A 22388-nucleotide genomic window follows, 5' to 3' on the forward strand; every position below is an offset into this window, starting at 1 on the left:
ATAGAATGCTAAATTGAAAGAGTTTTCTTTATCCCTTCTTTTCCCTACCCCCTTTTGCTTTTTTTTTCTGAAATAATAGGCCTTATTGTAGCCTTTATTATGATGCCCATCCATTATGAAGGGGCTGTAAAATAACACTTTCCAAAATTATTTGAAAAAATACCTTTTCCTGAACACTGTTAAACTCCACTGAACTACTAGTGGTCTTTGGAACACAGATTGCGAAGTGCTGCACTAGCAGTTTTCCAGCTTGCCCTCAGGTGCTTATTATGTAAACTTATAAAAACATTCCATTTATCTTCTATAAGTGATCATGTTTATCTGTTGTACTATAATGTGGTTCTCTTTCCTTGCAGATTTTTTTCTATTACAGAAACAGGAAAAGGTCATACAGAAGTATTTAGGAGGATTAATATATTTTTAGATTCTTAACTATATTAAGTCATTTAAATATCTCACCAAGACATAAAATGGGATTTCAGAATTATATGTGAACTTGAAGACTACATTTACTATGTTCATATTTTGGGGTTCACTCGAATTTCTACTACTATTTCGATAGTCCACAGAGTTCTCTCTTTTTTTTTTTTTTGAGACAGTCTCACTCTGTCGCCTAGGCTGGAGTGCAGTGGCGAGATCTCAGCTCACTGCAACCTCCGCCTCCCGGGTTCAAGCAGTTCTCTGCCTCAGCCTCCCGAGTAGCTGGGATTACAGTCACCTGCCACCACGCCAGGCTAATTTTTGTATTCTTTTAGTAGAGACAGGGTTTCACCATCTTGGCCAGGGTGGTCTTGAACTCCTGACCTCGTGATCCTCCTGCCTCGGCCTCACAAAGTGCCAAAGTTCCATTTTACAATTTCTGTTATTGGAGATGCTATATTCTAGTCTGGCTCTCTGCAACAGTTAAGAAGCCAGGCAAAAAAGATACCACAGTCAACGTTTTATTAGCTTTCATAAGTATTTTGATACATAGACACATTAGCAGAATAGTATAAAAATCATTTTTGATTCTGCAAAGACTCATTCTTTCCCATGCAGTAATGACTTACCCAGCAGTAACACCTGGATAGGTTGCTCAGTATATATCACTGCTAGATACATGCATGTATATGTAAACTCTCTGGGTTGGTTTAATGATAAACAGGGAAATACAGGAAAATAGTTCTTAAAGGTAAAACTTAGTGATTAATCTCTTAAATTATAAGAGAGCAATGTATGCAACAAGCTCAAGGGGACAGTAATAAAATTGGCATTATTCAGGTTGACATTTGATGCCTTTAAATATTACAAGGGATTACTTAGAAGTAGCCATTTTAGACTTTCCTTGCATATATGTCCCTTCACAATGCTCCTGTTTTATATTTCTAGAAAATATATTTTTATGTGTGAAAATTGACTGTTGAAGGTTTTTCACAATTTATTTTGTTAAACTAAACTGAATTTGTACGTAAGGATTTTAAGGCAATAAAAGGAATGAAAAATATTGACCTATTATTATTTTAAGAATTAAAAAAAATTGATTTTAATTGAACTTTAATTTATTTTAAGGAAATTTACCTGATCCTGGTAAGGCTCAGGATTTCATGAAGAAATTCACACAGGTGTTAGAAGATGATGAGAAAATAAGAAAGCAGTTAGAAGTACTTGTTAGTCCAACATGCTCCTGCAAGCAGGCTGAAGGTTGTGTGGTAAGGAGAGAAAAGAGCTGATGTTTGAAAAAGCCCCCAAATCTTCTTTATTGTTTCTCTCTTTTATAAAAGTAATTTATATTCATTATATTAAATTTGAAAAATGTCACATAAAAATGCAGATAAACTATAATTTCTCTATAGAGACAATTGTTAATATTGTGGTGTATGTCCTTCTAAAATGAGATATTATACATACAGTTTTGTACATTTTACTTTTTCATTAATTAGTCTTTTATAGTATTTAATAGCTCCATAGCATACCACTGAATACATGTACTATAATTTGTTGAGTAGTCCACTAAGTTACACATTTAGATTTTTTCCTACTTTTTGATTACTATTAAGAAGAATATAATTAATATTTTTACACAGTCTTGATTCTTTCTTTAGGATAAATTCTAAGAAGTACAATTGCATGGGCTAACAGCTCATTTTTAAAGCCTTTAATATGCTTTGGCAAATTGTTCTCCAGAACTGAATTAATTTTATGCTAATCACCAGTAATGAGAGTGACCATTTTCTCACACACAACAATATTGGTCAGTATCATTGCTGGAAACAAAACCCAAGTAAAAACAAAGAAAAACACAATTATTTTGATAGTATTTATATTTGTTAGTCACTAGTCATCTGACCATTTTTTTCTCCTTGGGATTATTGGCCATTCATATTTCTTTTGTAAGTTGTGTTTATAATATTTGCCTAGTTTTATAGAATGGTATTTATCTTACTGATTTGTGAGTTTGTCATATGGCATTTGCTAAGTTGCAGATAATTTTCTGTCAGTTTTAGTTTACCCTTTCTTTTTGTTTATTATGTTCTTTACATACCATAGTTTCTATCTTTAGGTAAGTCAGTATTTTCCTCATGGTGTTTGGCTTTGCTGTCTTGCTTATGAAATCCTATTCTGTTATAAGTCAATGAAAATATTTATTGTTGTCAGTGATTCTTAATCTGTTACCTATGTACCTTCTGAAATGCTTTTTAGAGAAAGATGATTCTTGACTTCACCCCAGATCAACTAAATGAGAATCTTCAGAGTTAAATACAGGAATCTATAGTTTTAACAAGCTCTTCTGATAATTTTACTTCCTCAAGTTTGTGCATCCAGTGACTCTTGGTTTTATTCATTTGTATTTTTATTCTTTTGGAATATTTTTGATGTAATATATGAGACAGGGACCTTACTTTGTTTTTATTCCAAATGTCTATCCAGTAATTTCAATACAGTGTATTGACTAGTCTACCTTTTCCCTGATTACTTGAAATATTACCTTTTTCATATGCTAAATCCTTAATTCAGTCTTTTTTTCTGGGCTTGTTCAATTCTTACAGTTTGTTTATTCCAGCGTCAGTACTACATGGTTTTAATTATTGTTGGTTCTTAATATTTTAACATAATGATTTGTTTAAATGTACTTTTGTAATACTGAAATAATCTGTATTACAGCGTGAAATAACTAAGAAGTTGGGCAACCCCAAACAGCCTACAAATCCTTTCCTGGAAATGATCAAGTTTCTCTTGGAGAGGATAGCACCTGTGCACATAGATACCGAATCTATCAGGTATTTGTATATAAAATACTAAGTTCTCATTGCTGTTCATTAATGTGTACATTCAGGAATCAGTCATTGTTGAGTGCCTGCTATATCTAGCTACACATCTGTGTGTATTGTGTACTCCTCTGTATATACTCCTCTGCATATACCTGTATTTGTATATGCACACACACACACACAGACACACACATATATATATATATACACTCATCTGTACCTGTATATTTGTTGTTATTCTTGTTATTTATCTTAATTTTAAGGATTGGTTCAAATTGTGTGAGAAATTGTCAATCTAAGCCTAATTTTATCTGTTAACGGTATACCAGACACTCTTTGTTTTTGTTAACTTGTATAGTTTAGGTAATATAAATAAATTTTATTTATACCCTTGGGAAACTAGGTGAATCTGTTGCAAAGGAACAAATGATACATTTTCACAGATAATTTGAGAACTGAAAATGTTGTTTTTTAAAACAACTCTCATTTAAAGTTTCAGCTTTGATACTACCTGTGAGAAGTTGGAAACATTTCTTTTTATCTCTGCATTCCCTTTTGTGAAATGTGGGAAGAGGTGTTTTTTTATTTTTAAACTTTCCCTAAAATGTTTTCCTCTGACTGAAAAAATAAAGTACTTATACAATATATATAGCGCATACTGACTTACTAGTTAGTCATCAGTAGTGTTCTTTGAGGGGTATATATTATAATCTAAAATAAATAATACTAATGATTTTTTCATCTTATGCTCAAACCCTGTTGGAGATGTTTTGTTGGGGAAGGCATTGGGCGTAGCTTTTGGTCATTGACCCCTTGCAAATAGAGAGACCCTACTTTGGTTACCTGTCAGTCACTTTGGACTCCTCTTGTATCGGTTTTCATTTGAAGAGGTAGTTCTGAGGTTTAAAAAGCAAGACAAGAAGTAGAAGCCTCTATATTTGTAAGAGGAAGACTCTGAATCAGACAAATTTATTAAGTAAGTAATCTCATGCCTTCTCTATTCAAGGCAGTACTCTTTAGGTACTGGCAAAGCATAGTGTGCTGTTATACCTTCTGTCAGTAGTGGAATAAAGATTTCAAATCAGGAGATTATATTGTAGTTCAGTAAGATTATTGCAAATAGAGTTCACAGTATTGAAAGAGGATATCTCTAAGGGATAATATTTCACCTAAGAGGGGAGAATGGGTAAGATTCTGTTTTTATAGAAGTGCCATTCTTGCCATTGAGGTTAACATAAATTAAGCTAATTTGATAGTAAAGAAAAGGGATATTTAGAAAATGATTGCCATCTATTTATAGTGTAATGTGGCATCATATAAAACTGTTATGAGATGATCCTTAAAAAGCCAGATGGGGAGCAGATTGTGAAAGCCTTTAACATTGAGCTTCCTTTTACTTTATCTGTTGAGAACTATGGATGATTGAGATGATGGCTAGGAGGAGGGAAGTAGAAGAGATAGATTGCCAAGGTGTTTTAATTGTCTATGGCTAGTAGTGGAATGGAAAGGAGACAACGTACTTGAAGGAAATTTTAAAACAACAACCTAAAAAATTGCCAGCTTACTGGGTATGGGGAATAAAGGCAAGGAAGAACCAGAAATATTAGGATTCAAGTCCAAATGATGTGGAGAATAGTAGTACCTTGAAAAGAATGAAAGGAACTGTTTTTGAAGGAGGTGAGAGAGGTTGTGCTTCCTACTTGTACATGACAAACAATTAAAAAAAAATCAAGGCCTATCAAGTTTAATGTGAAACTATGAGAATGGATTAATCTGCTCAGATTGTATAGAAAGAAGTAAAAAGATCATAGACAGAACTTTGGAAATTTTTTTTACAGTAGAGAAATTGTAGAAATGTAAGAAGACTAGGTTATTGTAATGTTTTGAGTTAAGATGGAGGAGGTTTTCAGAAGTAAAGTATATTGTGGACAAAGAGACTGAAAACCAGGAATAGATCTTGGCTTTAGGAATCAGAAGGTCATAGTGATCTAGAAGGTATGTCAAAACATAAACAATAAGAACAAGTAGCAGTTAGTGCTTTATAATGTGCCTGGTGTTACTCTAAGAATTTATGTTTTAACTAACTTCTTTCTCCAAGGATAGGAACTATTATTATTCCCATTTTACAGATAAAGAGCAGTAAATTGCACATAGGGTGAGTAACCTTCTCACTGCTGGAGTGTGGAAAACAGCATTTAAACCTAGGAAGTCTGTCTCTAGAGCCCACTTGGTTAACCACTACACTGTACAGAAAAATTCTACTTTTAGTCCCCTATAGTAGTCAGTGAATGTCCATTTCATCTGACTCTTCCCAACAGTGACTGTTAATCTTTTCAATATTTGTCATTTTATAGGTGAATGAAGAGATGTACCCTTTAAAAAAAATTTTTGTGTTTCAAATAGAAAAGTTGAGCAATTATTAATAAGGTTGAACTTTTTTTTTCATTTATGTCTTGGCTAATTTTATCCCTTTGGAGAATGCTTTTTATTTTTCCATAGGGACTCAGTGAAATTGTCTTTTTCTTATTGATTATAAGAATGCTTTATAAAACAAGGCTGTTCACCCAGTTGAATCACCTTTTAAATCTCTTTGCAATTAATAAATATTACATTGTATAATTAAATGTCAGTCATTTCCTTTGTGGTTTATTTCAGCCTTTGGTATCATATTAATAGCTCTGCTTTTTTACATTTACATCTGTAATTAGTCTGGAATTTAGTGTAAGGTGGACATAGAGACTTAGTCTTTTTTTTTTTTTGAGTAAGTCTCACTCTGTTGCCCAGGCTAGAGTGCAGTGGCTTGATCTCAGCTCACTGCAGCCTCCACCTGCTGTGATCAAGCAATTCTCCTGCCTCAGCCTTACAAGTAACTGGGATTACAGGCATGTGCCAGCACATCCAGCTAATTTTTGTATTTTTAGTAGAAATGGGGTTTCACCGTGTTGCCCAGGCTTGTCTTGAACTCCTGGCCTCAAGTGATCTGCCCGCCTTGGCCTCCCAAAGTGCTGGGATTACAGGCATGAGCCACTGTGCCCCGGCCTTGACCCAGTCCTTTTTACACTTGATCCTAGCCAAAAGGCTGAGAAGAGATGACCCAGTCTTTTTCAAAGGCACATGGTAGATAGTTGTATGAACTCCATTTACAGAAAAATTGATTCTCATTTGATTTGAGGTGTTCCTTTATTATAGCGTAAATTCTTACATGGTTTGGATCCTTGCTGGATTCCCTTTGGTTCTTTAGTCTTCTGAGGTTGTGATACATTAGAGGAAGTTCTTTCATCCCTCCTTCCGTAAAATTTATTGGCTGTTCCTAAGCACTAATTAATTCTTCCATATGAGACTTAGTATGTACCTGTGGAATCTTGTCCCATACCAAATGACATAGAGATTCTGTACATTACAACTTTTTAGTTATGTTTTTATATTTTGACTTGTTATTGTGAATAGATTTCCCCTCTCTGTTTTTTTAGGTAGTTTTTGCTGATACAGAAAAGTGCTATTGATTTTTGAGTGTTTTGTTTTACTCCACTGAATTCTTAGTATTTTAAAATAGTTTTTCAGTTGATTTTCTTTGATCTTTCAGGTAGGTGCTTTCCCATAGATTTTCGTATACCTGGCTGTTAGTAGTTCAGTTGTCCTTCCTCAGAAATCCCTTTCCTAATTACCCTGGCTATGGAACTTTTCTTCTTGTTGTGGCCTTTTTTTGTAGTCCATCTTGTTCTCTGATGATCTTTTTAATGTGTTTGTTAACTTATTTTTTACTTGCTTCACTTCACTGAGAGCTTCATACTCTCAGTCGTGGAAGAAAATGAGTTTACTTTTGGAAATGTGATAGTTTTCATTCCTGCGTATATCTAGGTTAAAAAATCTTGGGGCTACTGAAAATATGGAAAGGATTCAGATTGAAGATTTGTATTTGGAATAGTTGGAGATAAGAGAATAAGCTGATTAGGGAAAATGAGCAGAAAAAGAGAAAACACCCTCAGAAATACCAACTGTTAAAGAGATGATCAATTTAAGGGGACCCTATAATGGGGACAGATATATTTAACTCCTAACTTGACCTTAAATTTGAATATATAATATTTTCGTAGAAGCATATTTACTAAACATTTTAAGGAACATTGAATAATTGAATTTTCTTGTATTTTGGTATGTTTTCTGTCTCTGGTGGTGTTTTTTATAAAAAGGACAAATACATACCCATCAGTATAAATGATTATTTTAGATAATTGTCAATGCATTACAAATGTTTATTTATATTTTTAGAGATAGGGTCTCACTCTGCCACCCAGGCTGGAGTGCAGTGGTGCATCATAGCTCACTGTAACCTTAAGCTACTGTGCTTAAGTGATCCTCCCAAATAGCTGGGACAACAGGCACACACTACCATGCCAGGCTAATTTTTTAAATTTTATGTAGAGACAGGGTCTCGTTATGTTGCTCAGGCTGGTCTTGAACTCCTGGCCTCAAGTGACCCTCCTTTTTCAGCCTCCTAAGTGGCTGTGTTTACAGGAGTGAGCCACTGTGCCTGGGTACAGATGTTTATTTTAAAATAACAAGCTTGGCCGGGCGTGGTGGCTCACATCTGTAATCCCAGCACTTTGAGAGGCAAAGGCGGGCAGATCACTTCAGGTCAGGAGTTTGAGACCAGCCTGACCAACATGGTGAAACCCCGTCTCTACTAAAAATACAAAAATTAGCTGGGTTTGTTGGCGCGCACCTGTAATCCCAGCTACTTGGGAGGCTGAGGCAGGAGAATTGTTTGAACCCAGGAGGCGGAGGTTGCAGTGAACCGAGATCACGCCACTGCACTCCAGCCTGGGTGACAAAGTGAAACTTCGTCTCAAAAATAAATAAATAAATAAATAAATAAATAAATAAATAAATAAATAAAATAACATAAGCTTGTTTTTATTAGAAGAAAGCTTGAAAACATCATGTTTCCTTTTGATCTATTGTAGTTCCTTTTCTGATGTTCTAATGAGGTTTTATTGTATGTCTGTTACCTAGGATTCTTACACCTTTTAGGAGGAGGCCTAGGTATATTTCTGACTTTGACAGCTGTGCGTGACACACAGTAATATTTGGTAAATGGTTTGGAAGTGCTTAATGTTTCCTTTATCATTTTTTATTTCTGTGTATATTGTTCTACTTACTGGACTAGTGATCAGTTTTAGATAATTAAAAATAATTTGTCATTTATGTGTTTGGGCTCAGACCTGCCATGGAAAAGATGATAAAGATATTGATAGCATTAATAAAGAGCAAATTGAATAACATTTTGACCTCATTTGAATGGGCAAGGGAAAAGAATTGTTTTTGAAAAGAAGCATCTGAAAATACTATAGTTGTTTTGCAGTAGTGTTAAAAACCAGCTATATCAAATTTGTATTTGGTTCGGATATGTATATATGTATGTGCACATATATGTAACACAGGATTATTTTTCTTAGACATTGCTAGTAACATTTGAAAAAATGACTTTTTTGGTCATATTTTAGTGCTCTTATTAAACAAGTGAACAAATCAATAGATGGAACAGCAGATGATGAAGATGAGGGTGTTCCAACTGATCAAGCCATCAGAGCAGGTCTTGAACTGCTTAAGGTAAGTATCTATTTAAAATTAAGTGCCTAATTAGATATCTGTTTAACATATACAGTTTATATTATTTGTTCTTGATGTTTTCTTCTTAAGTTTGTATAATCCAAAGTAAAATTTTCTCAGTTGTTTTAGATGATTTAGAAGTTGTATATTTATTCTTACATGTAATCTGATTATTTTGGGGTTTAAATGCTGTAATCTAGCCTAGTACTAATTATATTAAAATAGTGGAGTATAATTCAGGGTGTCATTAGTGAGCAAAGAAGGTACAACTCTGCTGTAGAATGAGCCAAATTCTTTCTAAAACTCTTATTTTTTTTTGTTTCATAAAATATTCTGTCTTTTACTGATTGTAAAAATATTAATTCATTATTGACAACTTTAGAATATATAAAATTATAAAAAACATAGGTTGATCATACATAAACATTAGTTTCTTTTGTTTCCTTTTAATCTTCAACAAATGCATAGTTGGGATCATTGAGATCAAACTGAATATACAATTTTGTATCCTTAACTATTTTCCCTTATTAAAGTATAAGCATTTTTCTCGGTGTTTTTCAAGAGTTTTTTTTTTTAAGAGTGTCTAAAGCAGATCTGGTTTTTGGCTGTCATCTAGTAGCTGTCTGCCTTTGACCACATTACTTGCCTCATTTCCTCATATGAAATCGAGATAATAATAAAGTACTTGTCTTGCAAAGGACGTTAAAGCTTGTACATGAATTTCTTAGCACCATGCCTAGCTCATAGTAAAAATAATAATAAACATTTTTGAAATGGTGATTAGCCCATATTTGGGGCATCATACTATCCTACCGAGGTAGGAGGCAGGACTGGACTCCAGAGGCGGAGCTCAGATACAGGACCAAATTGAGGACTAGCTAAAACAAGGGCGAGATAGAAGCAGCTTTCCAGAAGACATGCCCACCAATGTGCCTTGTCAGTTTACCATTGCTATGGCAATACCCCGGAGTTACTGTCCCTTTCCTTGGCAATGACCTGATGACCCAAAAGCTACTCCCCGTTCCCTAGGAATTTCTGCATAAACTGCCCCCTTAGTCTGTATATAATTAAAAGTAGGTATAAATATTACTGTAAAACTGCCCTGAGCTACAACTCTCTGCACCCTACCTATGGGGTAGTACTGTTCTGCAGAAGCAGTCATAGAGGTGTATGTAACACCTCCGGAGCAGTAAGACTGCTGCTTCAGTAAAGCTATTTTCTTCTGCCCTATCACTGGCTTGCCCTTGAATTCTTTCCTTGGCAAAGCCAAGAATCCTTGCGGGCTAATCCTCACTTTGGGACTCTCCTTTCTCTGTATCACTAGTATTTTCCTATTGTTGAATATTTTGATTTTTCTACTTTTATTCTTACAAACAACACTAAGGTGAATGTTTCTATGTAAGATCTCTTGGTAATATCTTATTTTTTAGAAAACTGGGAGAGCATTACTGAGTTAAAGAGAGTGACCACTTTCAAAATTCTTGGAGCAATATATATTTAAATTGCTGTACAGGGAAATTTTACCGATATATAATCCCATCAGTAGTATGTGAAGGTACCCGTCTTTTTAACCTTCAAAATATGGAATATAATACATTTTTAAAAGATTTGCGAATCTGATAAGCAAAAATAATGTTTTAATTTGCATATTTAATACTAGTGAGGTCCATATGTTAATCATTTGTGTTTTCCCTATGGTCATTTTTATCCTTTGCTCATACATCTACTGACATCTCTATCTTTTGTTTTTTTTTAAACTGATTTAAATAAGCTTTTTATTTCCTTTGCTTTTTCCTGGGACATATTTGATATATGTACAAACATGTATTCTCTTATATGTAAATTATGAAGTGTAGTAACCAAGTGAATACAAGTGAAAAGTAAATAGAGTGTCAAATTAAATTGAATATTAAAAATACTGTTCAAGTTCCCTGAGTAGTCTTTTTTCTTGCCTGCTTACATCCCCTTACCAGGTATCATTGTCCTGAATTTTGGATTTATTATTCTTTCAATATTCTTTATAGTTTTATCATCTATGTATGTATCTCTAAATAACATGTTGCTTATTTTGATTATTTTAGAAACTTATAAATGTGGCATTATACTTAGTATATTTTTCTGCTGTGTGCTGTTTTTTTTACATTCCACATTTGATTCCTTTTGTTTATTTTATGCTTTAAAAAACCCTATCTTATACAGAGGGTTTTTGTTGTTTTTATTTTTTAAAATCTTAAACACAACCCATCTGAAATTTATTTTGAAAGTGTGTTGTGGGGGCAAGGGGTCTAATTTGATTTTCTCCCAATAGCTATTCAGTTTTCCCAGGACTATTTATTTTCTGTTGACTTCTTTGTAATCTCTTACAATTTATATAATCTAATTTTTTATATATTCTAGAGTCTACTTAACTGCCTTACATTTTCTGTTTCATGATTATTCTAATGTTCGTACCATTGTGATTTGGACATTGGAACTTTATAGACTTTTTTACTGTCTGGTCAGTCTAGTTTATTCTCCTCTTCTTCAGTCTCTGCTAATGATGTTTATTGAGAAGATGAGAGATGTTTTGTTAAATTCTCTCTTCATGTCCCCTTTTCTCCTCTCATTCCCCACCAAAAAACCTGAACAATAATCAAAATCTAAATTATTTTGATTAAAATTATATTAACATGTAATTTAATTTTGGAAGAAATTACTTCATTATATCATACAATCTTCCTACAGAGGAACATTTCTGTTACATAGTTGAGTATGTTTTAAATTTTATTTATAGTGCTCTCAGATTTTGGTCAACATAATTTTTTTTAATAGACTTTGATTTATAGTATTTCTAATATGTAATATTTTGGATTTGTATTATAAAGATGAAAAAGTTTTACAAATCATTTTTATGATTCATTTTATAGGTACTCTCATTTACACATCCCATCTCATTTCATTCTGCTGAAACATTTGAATCATTACTGGCTTGTCTGAAAATGGATGATGAAAAAGTAGCAGAAGCTGCACTACAAATTTTCAAAAACACAGGAAGCAAAATTGAAGAGGATTTTCCACACATCAGATCGTGAGTTGAGTTTATTTTCAAAAATATTCTGGACATCAGAAACATAATTATTTCTTGATTTATGCAATAATTGGGAATCTTTCAAGTTTTGAGGAAAAACTGTCTAGGTTATCTTAAGTCTGTAATGTTCAGTTTAGATTCTCCTTTCCTGGGAGAAAGCTTTGATTGGTATTTTAGAAGATGCATGAGTGTGGGGGATAAACATGGCATGTCTTTCTGATGCATCAGTTAGATAGTCCCTGGTATATTATGGCATAGAATAAACAATTCATATGAATTTAAGGTATGATGGGAAGTTTCAAAGGAATTTCATCAGGACTATCCATAATATTCTTTAGTTTCCTCTGTGATTTAGGGCTGAAACAAAAAAAAGTCGGAAGCAGTGCTTTAATTGACACAGGGAAGTCGAGAAGCATGGAATACTTACCTTAACAGCAGTGCAATTTTGTCTGTGTTCCAGTATTTCCCATAATTGCAAATTGAGCTGTTATCCTGGGATAATCATAGTTCAAGATTTTATAATCAGAAGAATAAATCTTCATTTCTTACATGGCACTGCTTACTTCTCTATGTATATCTCTTCTTCTAGTTCTTGGAGAGAAGATGGAATAGGTGGTTCTGATACTGGCGTAGTCATAGGTGGTTGCTTTCACCTCTACCTCATCACTTCTGGCTTACCCATTAGTCTGGTTAGTTGTGATTGGGGTACCATGCTTTTATATGGAGAAGAATTGCCTATGGGTCTTTTCCTTAGAAAGAGACTGGGAGTAAAGCTAGCTCGCAATTAGAGTTTCAGGTATAATTTCTGTTATTCCTTTCTGTTCATGTGTACTTTATTCTAGAAACTGCTGATAAATAGAACAAAGGCATTATTATTATTTTCTTTTTTTCTTTTTTTTTTTGAGATGGAGCCTCACTCTGTTGCCCATGCTGGAGTGTAGTGTGGTGTGATCTCAGCTCACTGCAACCTTCACCTCCCAGGTTCAAGCGATTCTCCTGCCTCAGCTTCCTGAGTAGCTGGGATTACAGGCACACGCCCCCATGCCCGGCTAATTTTTTGTAGAGACAGGGTTTTGCCATGTTGGCCAGGTTGGTCTTGAACTCCTGACCTCAGGTGATATCACCTGCCCGCCTCAGCCTCCCAAAGTGCTGGGATTACAGACATGAGCCAGCGTGCCTGGCCGGCAATTATTTAAATGGTAATAGAAACCTACTAAAATTTTATAACAGTCTCTCTGGCAAGAGTAAGAAACCTTATTATTTGGAACTGACTTGAAGTCTTACTCTGTCACCCAGGTTAGAGTGCTGTGGCGCAATCTTGGCTCATTGCAGCTTCTGCCTCCCAGGTTCAAGCAATTCTCCTGCCTCAGCCTCCTGAGTAGCTGGAATTACAGGCCTGCACCACCACACCTGGCTAATTTTTGTATTTTTAATAGAGACAGGGCTTCACCATGTTGACCAGGCTGGGCTCCAACTCCTGGCCTCAAGTGATCTGCCCGCTTCCGCCTCCCAAAGTGCTGGGATTACAGGCATGAACCACCGCGCCTGGCCTTGACTTCTAATTTTTAAGTAATCCCAGAGCATAAGCTTCCCTTTGGATGGTGCTATGGCTCTCCTAGTCAGATCAGAGATGAGAGTTTGGTTGTATGTATGTGTATGTGTATGTGTGTATTTGTCGCACACACATATGTAGTACGTATACATACCCACTCATTATGTATAAACTGTATATAACAGTATACCATTTGCTGAATGCCCACTTACTATACTGTCTCATTTAAACATTGTAACAATTCAGTGAAGTGCGGTTATTATCCTAGTTTTCCAAATGAGGAATCTAATGTTCAAGTGGTAAATGGACCCAGGTCATACAGCTAGCAAGTGACAGAGCCAGGATTTGAATTTAGGCCTGTTTGGCTCCAGTGCCTATGGTGCGATATCCATTACAGCAGTTTCTTTTCTAATTAGAGCATTGACAAAGTTCAAATTTGGCTTATTCCCTGGAGGTTTTATTATTTTCATTCTAGATTGTTTTTCCCTAGTAACTTTTATATTTTAAAGAAACATGGTTTGATATATTTGTAGAACCACAAGAACAGGGTCAAAAGGTGGACATTTTAAAATGTACATGGAGCATTTTAAAATGTATTGCTTTAATATGGAACTGAAGTATTTAAAATATTTGATTTATATACTGAATATATTTCAGATACTTCTCATGAGGAGAATTAACTCAGCTGATACTGAATTCCTGCAGTGTGCACACACTGTTGTTGATGAAATAACTCATAATAATTTCTTCCAGGAGATAAACTATGTATGTAGATTTAATTTTTTAAATTATTAAATTGGGTGAGTTGATTTTGAGGAAAAATAATATAGTTAAGAGAATGTTGATTAAACTGTCTTCCCTTGAATTCATCAAAATAATTAAAAAGAACCTAAAGAAAAATGTATTTAAGTAAAGCTACCACCAACTGGACAGAATTGGCACCAGATGTGCCCTTAAGACTCTATTGAAAGTGAGAGCACTGACAAGGGATATGTATTGGCAGTGTACTGTAAGTGTCCTATTATTTGCTAATTTAGAGGGAGGATATTGCTATATGGACACACTTTAAGAGAAAGAAAGAAAACCTGATTTTAGCTGTACTAGGACTAAAGGAGAGGCTTTGTGGTCATAGTATTTTTCTTTAGGTCAACCTGTTTACCAGGAAGAGCAAAGTTTAGTGATGAGGTAAGACTAAGGAAAATCATGAAGGAAATATCTTTTTACCAACTTTACGGGAACAGAAGAAAATTATACGCTTAACCCATTAAACAAAAAATGAAGATGAGTTATGGGGTTCCATAACGATGAGTTATATGAGTTCCATTGTGTCTCAGCTTGTCTCTCAGGAGTCTGACTCCCCTAAAAGTAGTTAGATGTGCCAAAACTGAGGATCCTGTCATAACATGTGATGTACCCATAGCTCAAGTGACTGGTTCTTATCCTTGTAAGAGTTTTAACAAATTTGGAGATAAATTACACAGAGAAAAAGGACTTACTACCTTTAGTCCTAACTCTCATTCCTATGCTACTTAGCCAGGTGATGAAGCAACTGTAGCCTGAGTTGGGAGCTTTGATGTTAATTTTTTAAAGAAGTGTTCAGTCATCCGGGAGATGCTAACTATACTTTTGTTTAAATAGCAAAGCCAGAGAGAATTTTTCTTATTCAAAGATGAATTAACAGAATACAGATAAGCAAGTTAACAAACACAAAACCTATGTAAATATCTTAGCATTCCAAAGTAACTGATAAGCAATACTTAAATAACTGTCTTAGTTATTTAAGCTGCCAAGGAAGGTAAACAGCAAATGACATGAGAGAAAAAAGATAACAAAAATGAAGTAATACATGAAAAAGAGCTAAGGATATTGACTATAGAATATAATTTAATATAAGTAGCAAGGAGCAGAATAAACAATGTGGAAGATGGAATCAGTAAGCTAGAGATTTGGCTTGAGGAAATCTGCATAGAATATAGAGAAATTGGAGAGAAAAAATGGAGTTAAAGGGAATGAATTGCAGATAGTGAAAAACCATAATTGACATCTTTGGAGAAGACAGTAGAATAATGGGAAATGGAAAATATTCAAGAAAATAATAATAAATTTGTTCTGAATGATTTAAAATATGAATCTGGAGGTGAAGACTCATTTTTGGAAAATATACTGGTGCAGTTTGCTAAATTTTCAGGGATTGCAAAAGTGATTTCACAAATATCAAGAAAAACTAGTTATATCGGGGAACCTGCCCCGATAATCATGTAGGTTCTTTTCTATTTTTCCTAAGCGGCGGCCGGCTTGAGAAATAAAGGGACAGAGTACAAAAGAGAGAAATTTTAAAGCTGGGCATCCAGGGGAGACATCACAAATTGGTAGGATCCGTGATGCCCCACAAGCCACAAAAACCAGCAAGTTTTTATTAGAGATTTTCAAAAGGGGAGGGAGTGTGTGAATAGGTGTGGGTGACAGACATCAAGTACTTAACAGGGTAATAGAATATCACAAGGCAAGTGGAGGCAGGATGAGATCACAGGACCACAGGACAGAGGCAAAATTAAAATTGCTAATGAAGTTTCGGGCACCATTGTCACTGATAACATCTAATCAGGAGACAGCGTTTTGAGATCAACCGGTCTGACCAAAATTTATTAGGCGGGAATTTCCTCTTCCTAATAAGCCTCACAGGACCACAGGACTGAGGCGAAATTAAAATTGCTAATGAAGTTTTGGGCACCATTGTCATTGATAACATCTTATCAGGAGACAGGGTTTTGAGATCAACCGGTCTGACCAAAATTTATTAGGCAGGAATTTCCTCTTCCTAATAAGCCTAGGAGCGCTATGGGAGACTGGAGTCTGTTTTAGCTCTGCAGCCTCAACCATAAGAGACAGGCGCACCTGGGGGGGCTGTTTATAAGCCTATACCTCCAGGTGCGTATTCTCTTTCTCAGGGATGTTCCATGCTGAGAAAAAGAATTCAGCGATATTTCTCCCATTTGCTTTTGAAAGAAGAGAAATACGGCTCTGTTATGCCTGGCTCACCGGCGGTCAGAGTTTAAGGTTATCTCTCTTATTCCCTGAACGATTGTTGTTATCCTGCTCTTTTTTCAAGGTGCCCACATTTCATATTGCTCAAACACACATGCTATATAATTTGTGTAGTTAACACAATTATCACATGGTCCTGAGGCGATATACATCCTCCTCAGCTGACAGGATTAAGAGATTAAAGTAAAGACAGGCATAGGAAATCACAAGAGTATTGATTGGGGAAGTGATAAGTGTCCATGAAATCTTTACAAATTTTATGTTTAGAGATTGCAGTAAAGACAGGCATAAGAAATTACAAGAGTATTAATTTGGGGAACTAATAAATGTCCATGAAACCTTTACAATCCATGTTCTTCTGCCATGGCTTCAGCTGGTCCCTCTGTTTGGGGTCCCTGACTTCCTGCAACATAGTTAGGTCAGCGCAGTGGAAAATAATGAAGCTGGCTGACTTCTTTTCAAACCACACACAATTTCTGAAGTTAATGATTCAACAGCTGGAGAGTTCTGATGGAAAAAACAGTATAACTAAAGAATTTCCTAGGCAGCCCTAGCTACTTTTAAGTAGGGGCAAATGAAGGATATTCTTAAGTATACAGGACTCAGTAAATGTACCACCCCTTTTTTATCATGAGGTTACCCTGTCTACATAGTTTTATGCTTTTCCGTCTGGAACTCAGTTTTGCTTATGCCCTCTAAATCTAGATTTTGTTTCCTTTTTGTTTGTATATCTCTGATTTGTCTTTGCCTATCATTTTAGTTTAATTATTTAACTTTTAGATATGGCTATGTAAATGTATTTGAAAACCTGGATTTTTAAGAATGATGTAAATAAGTTCAAGATGAGGAAAGACAAAAACCTAACAGACTCTAGTTATAAAAAAATTGAAACATTATTCGCTAATAAAACCACCAGTGTAGCTCTCCCTCTCCCTCTCCCTATCCCTCTCCCTCTCCCCACGGTCTCCCTCTCCCTCTCTTTCCACGGTCTCCCTCTGATGCTGAGCCAAAGCTGGACTGTACTGCTGCCATCTCGGCTCACTGCAACCTCCCTGCCTGATTCTCCTGCCTCAGCCTGCCGAGTGCCTGCGATTGCAGGTGCGCGCCGCCACGCCTGACTGGTTTTCGTATTTTTTTGGTGGAGACGGGGTTTTGCTGTGTTGGCCGGGCTGGTCTCCAGCTCCTAACCGCGAGTGATCCGCCAGCCTCGGCCTCCCGAGGTGCCGGGATTGCAGACAGAGTCTGGTTCACTCAGTGCTCAATGGTGCCCAGGCTGGAATGCAGTGGCGTGATCTTGGCTCGCTACAACCTCCACCTCCCAGCCGCCTGCCTTGGCCTCCCAAAGTGCCGAGAGTTGCAGCCTCTGCCCGGCCACCACCCCGTCTGGGAAGTGAGGAGCGTCTCTGCCTGGCCGCCCATCGTCTGGGACGTGAGGAGCCCCTCTGCCTGGCTGCCCAGTCTGGATAGTGAGGAGCGTCTCTGCCCGGCGTGCCATCCCATCTAGGAAGTGAGGAGCGCCTCTTCCCGGCCGCCATCCCATCTAGGAAGTGAGGAGTGTCTCTGCCTGGCCTCCCATCCTCTGAGATGTGGGGAGCGCCTCTGCCCTGCCGCCCCATCTGGGATGTGAGGAGCGCCCCTGCCCGGCTGCGACCCCGTCTGGGAGGTGAGGAGTGTCTCTGCCCAGCCACCCCGTTTGAGAAGTGAGGAGACCCTCTGCCTGGCAACCGCCCCATCTGAGAAGTGAGGAGCCCCTCCGCCCGGCAGCCGCCCCGTCTGAGAAGTGAGGAGCGCCTCCGCCCAGCAGCCACCCCGTCTGGGAAGTGAGGAGTGTCTCCACCCGGCAGCCACCCCATCTGGGAGGGAGGTGGGGGTCAGCCCCCGCCAGGCCAGCCGCCCCATCCGGGAGGGAGGTGGGGGGGTCAGCCCCCCGCCCGGCCAGCCGCCCCGTTTGGGAGGGAGGTGGGGGGGGTCAGCCCCCCGCCCGGCCAGCTGCCCCGTTTGGGAGGTGAGGGGCGCTTTTGCCCAGCCGCCCCTACTGGGAAGTGAGGGGCCCCTCTGCCCGGCCAGCCGCCCCGTCCGGGAGGGAGGTGGGGGGGTCAGCCCCCTGCCCGGCCAGCCGCCCTGTCTGGGAGGGAGGTTGGGGGGTCAGCCCCCCGCCCGGCCAGCCGCCCCGTCCGGGAGGTGAGGGGTGCCTTTGCCTGGCCGCCCCTACTGGGAAGTGAGGAGCCCTTTTGCCCGGCCAGCCACCCCGTCCGGGAGGGAGGTGGGGGGGTCAGTCCCCCGCCCGGCCAGCTGCCCCGTCCGGGAGGGAGGTGGGGGGGTCAGCCCCCCGCCCGGCCAGCCGCCTCGTCCGGGAGGGAGGTGGGGGGGTCAGCCCCCCGCCCGGCCAGCCGCCCCGTCCGGGAGGTGAGGGGCGCCTCTGCCCGGCCGCCCCTACTGGGAAGTGAGGAGCCCCTCTGCCAGGCCACCACCCCATCTGGGAGGTGTACCCAACAGCTCATTGAGAACGGGCCATGATGACAATGGCGGTTTTGTGGAATAGAAAGGGGGGAAAGGTGGGGAAAAGATTGAGAAATCGGATGGTTGCCGTGTCTGTGTAGAAAGAAGTAGACATGGGAGACTTTTCATTTTGTTCTGTACTAAGAAAAATTCTTCTGCCTTGGGATCCTGTTGATCTGTGACCTTACCCCCAACCCTGTGCTCTCTGAAACATGTGCTGTGTCCACTCAGGGTTACATGGATTAAGGGCGGTGCAAGATGTGCTTTGTTAAACAGATGCTTGAAGGCAGCATGCTCGTTAAGAGTCATCACCACTCCCTAATCTCAAGTACCCAGGGACACAAACACTGCGGAAGGCCGCAGGGTCCTCTGCCTAGGAAAACCAGAGACCTTTGTTCACTTGTTTATCTGCTGACCTTCCCTCCACTATTGTCCTATGACCCTGCCAAATCCCCCTCTGCGAGAAACACCCAAGAATGATCAATAAAAAAAAAAAAAAATAAATAAATCAATAAATTAAAAAAAAAAAAAAAGCACCAATGTAAGTTGTGTCTTGAGGGAGATATTTCAAATCTATAAGAAACCAGGAATTCTAATTCTTTTAATTGTTCAGAGTATAGAAAAGAAAGCACTCATTTTCTTTACAGCCAGGATAACTAACATGAATACTAAAACCTAGTAAAAGATATCCTCCCCACCCACCCCCCCAAAAAAAAACGCTAAGACAAATCTTACTAATATGTGATTTTTGTATAAGCAAGATAGTAGCAAAAAGAGAATTTAAATAATAAAGCGAGAATATATTATGGCCAAACATGGTTAATTTTAGGAGTATACAGAGAGCGTTGGTACAATATTAGTAAGCCTACTATTTATGTTTACAATTTATTATATAAGTAGGGAAAAGGGTATACAATAGATCATTTTTGATAGATGCTGAAAGGGCTTCTGAATTTTTTTTTTTTTGAGACGGAGTCTCGCTCTGTCGCCCAGGCTGGAGGGCAGTGGCATGATCTCGGCTCACTGCAAGCTCCGCCTCCCGGGTTCACACCATTCTCCTGCCTCAGCCTCCCGAGTAGCTGGGACTACAGGCGCCCGCCACCATGCCCGGCTAATTTTTTGTATTTTTAATAGAGACGGGGTTTCGCTGTGTTAGCCAGGATGCTCTCGATCTCCTGACCTTGTGATCCGCCTGCCTCGGCCTCCCAAGGTACTGGGATTAGAGGTGTGAGCCACCACGCCTGGCCAAAAAAATCAGTCTGTTTCTAATTAAATCTAATAAGATAGGAATCCGTACCTTCATAACATAATTAATATCTCTCAAACCAATAGGCAGCATCATGTAAAACACCAGTAGCATTCCCAATAAAAGCAGGAACAAGGTGAGATACCACACTATCTCTGCTATTGTTTAACATTGTTTTGGAAGCATTAGCTAGTGTAATTATGTAAGAATATAAAATAAGAAATACAAGTGTGGGAAAGGAAGAAGCTTTCATTTTTCTTGGAAAATCCAGGAGAATCAACCGAAAAACTACTCAAAATGGGGTAGCCAAAATGAGTATGTAAAAATCCAAAGTTTTCTGTATATAACCAACAATCATTTACATTATTATGGGAGTAAACATCAGAAGACCTAGAAGTAAAGTATACAAGAAATTTGCAATGCTGTAATAATGGTGGATGGGGGGATATAATACTTAACAAATACATTGGTCAGGAAAAGGTACGTTACCTAGTAAATAATTAGCAAGCAGTTTTGAAAGGAAAATAGACTGCTTACTTTGATTTTACATATATTCCAGAAGAATCAAAGACAAATTATTGCATTAAGTGTATAACATGGATTTGGTTTAAGTATATAACATGAATTAAAATACTAGTAACCAGTATATTTTTATAACTTCCTTGTTTGTAGAGGAAGGGACACTTATACCAAGTCATGAATGAAATATTGATGGGTTGGATTATTGTTATTATTACTATTATTATTTTGTTGAGATAGGGTCTTGCTCTGTTACCTAGACTGGAGTGCAGTGGCTCAATCATGGCCCACTGCAGCCTCAACTTCCTGGGCTCAATCAGTCCCCCCACCTCAGCCTCCCAAGTTGTTGTGTCTACAGGCATATGCCACCATGCTTGTCTAAATTTTGTATTTTTTGTAGAGACAGGGTTTTGCCATGTTGCCCACGCTGGTCTTGATCTCCTGGGCTCAGGTGATCTGCCTAGCTTGGCCTCCCAAAGTGTTGGGATTACAGGCATGAGCCACCATGCCTGGCCTGGATTGTATTATTTTTAAAAAATTCATTTGTTGCAAAAAAATCTATGTGTTACCCCCCACTCCCTGCCCCACCATGTATGGTATGGTTCTAGGTGTACAGTACAGTTCTAGGTGTCGAGGACATTGTAATAAAGAGGACAGGCTAAGTCTCTCTGCCCTTTTATTTTAGTGGGGGTGAGGAACCACTATTTAGATAAAAGCCAAAATCATGAAATAAGTTGGAAACACAAATGATATGCTGGAAAACTATTTTCAGTATATATTAGTTAGAAAAGGTTAATACCTGCAATGTATAAAGACCCCCCCCCCTTTTTTTTTTGTTTGAGACAGGGTTTCACTCTGTCTCCCAGGCTGTAGTGTAGTGGCTTGATCTCTTGGCTCACTGCAACCTCTGCCTCCCAGGTTCTAGCAGTTTTTGTGTCTCAGCCACCCAAATAGCTGGGATTACAGGCGTGTGCCACCACCCCTGGCAATTTTTTTTTGTTTGTGTTTTTAGTAGAGACTGGATTTTGCCATGTGGGCGGGGCTGGTCTCTGTCTCCTGGCCTTAAGTAATCTGTCCGCCTTGGCCTCCCAAAGTGTTGGAATTACAGGTGTGAGCCACTGTGCCTGGCTGCAATGTATTAAAGATTCTTAATGAAGGAATAACAAATATAAATCTCATAGTAGAATACTAGCAAAGAGAATGAACAGGAAATTTATAAGCAGGAAGTCCTGTCAGCCTTCCAAATCATGAAAAGATGCTTATGTAATCAAGGAAATACAAATATAAGCAATTATGTGATGCAACCAGTATTAGTTAGCATTCCAACAATGCTGTCTTGGTGGGAGTATAAAATGATGCTATGCTTCTAGGTTGGTAACGTGGTAATATATGCAAACTTAAAATGTGTATAGTTTTTGGCTCTGCACTTTCAGGAACTTATCCCAGAGATAATTAGAAAAGATGTGCACATAATCTGTCATATAGTTCAGGGTTCAGTCAGAGAAACAAACTATACTAGGTATAAAGTCATGTACTGCATAATGGTGCGTTGGTTAACGATAGACCAGATGTATATGGTAGTCTCTTAAGATTATGATGGAG

The 22388-nt window shown here is 38.1% G+C and overlaps 1 protein-coding gene across 9 annotated transcripts in view, besides 1 other annotated feature; it reads left to right on the forward strand.

The window, feature by feature from the left end:
• PDS5B (PDS5 cohesin associated factor B) overlaps positions 1–22388 on the forward strand; it is a 191568-nt gene that overhangs the window by 111730 nt on the left and 57450 nt on the right. For all 9 annotated transcript variants that reach the window (XM_005266298.5, NM_015032.4, XM_017020452.3 and 6 more), the window contains 4 exons: positions 1549–1688; positions 3142–3257; positions 8753–8858; positions 11765–11925. In XM_005266298.5, coding sequence (XP_005266355.1) covers positions 1549–1688; positions 3142–3257; positions 8753–8858; positions 11765–11925 — 523 coding nt within the window. The remainder of the gene's footprint in view (positions 1–1548; positions 1689–3141; positions 3258–8752; positions 8859–11764; positions 11926–22388) is intronic.
• Positions 15734–16718: an enhancer, noted in NCBI's record as "OCT4-NANOG hESC enhancer chr13:33288052-33289036 (GRCh37/hg19 assembly coordinates)". NCBI's record gives its function as "activates a minimal SCP1, AML or CMV promoter by ChIP-STARR-seq in naive H9 embryonic stem cells {active_cell/tissue: H9 hESC(naive)}" and the evidence as "EXISTENCE:reporter gene assay evidence [ECO:0000049][PMID:30033119]".

This window comes from Homo sapiens, chromosome 13 (assembly GCF_000001405.40).
Source record: "Homo sapiens chromosome 13, GRCh38.p14 Primary Assembly".
Taxonomy (NCBI): Eukaryota; Metazoa; Chordata; class Mammalia; order Primates; family Hominidae; genus Homo; species Homo sapiens.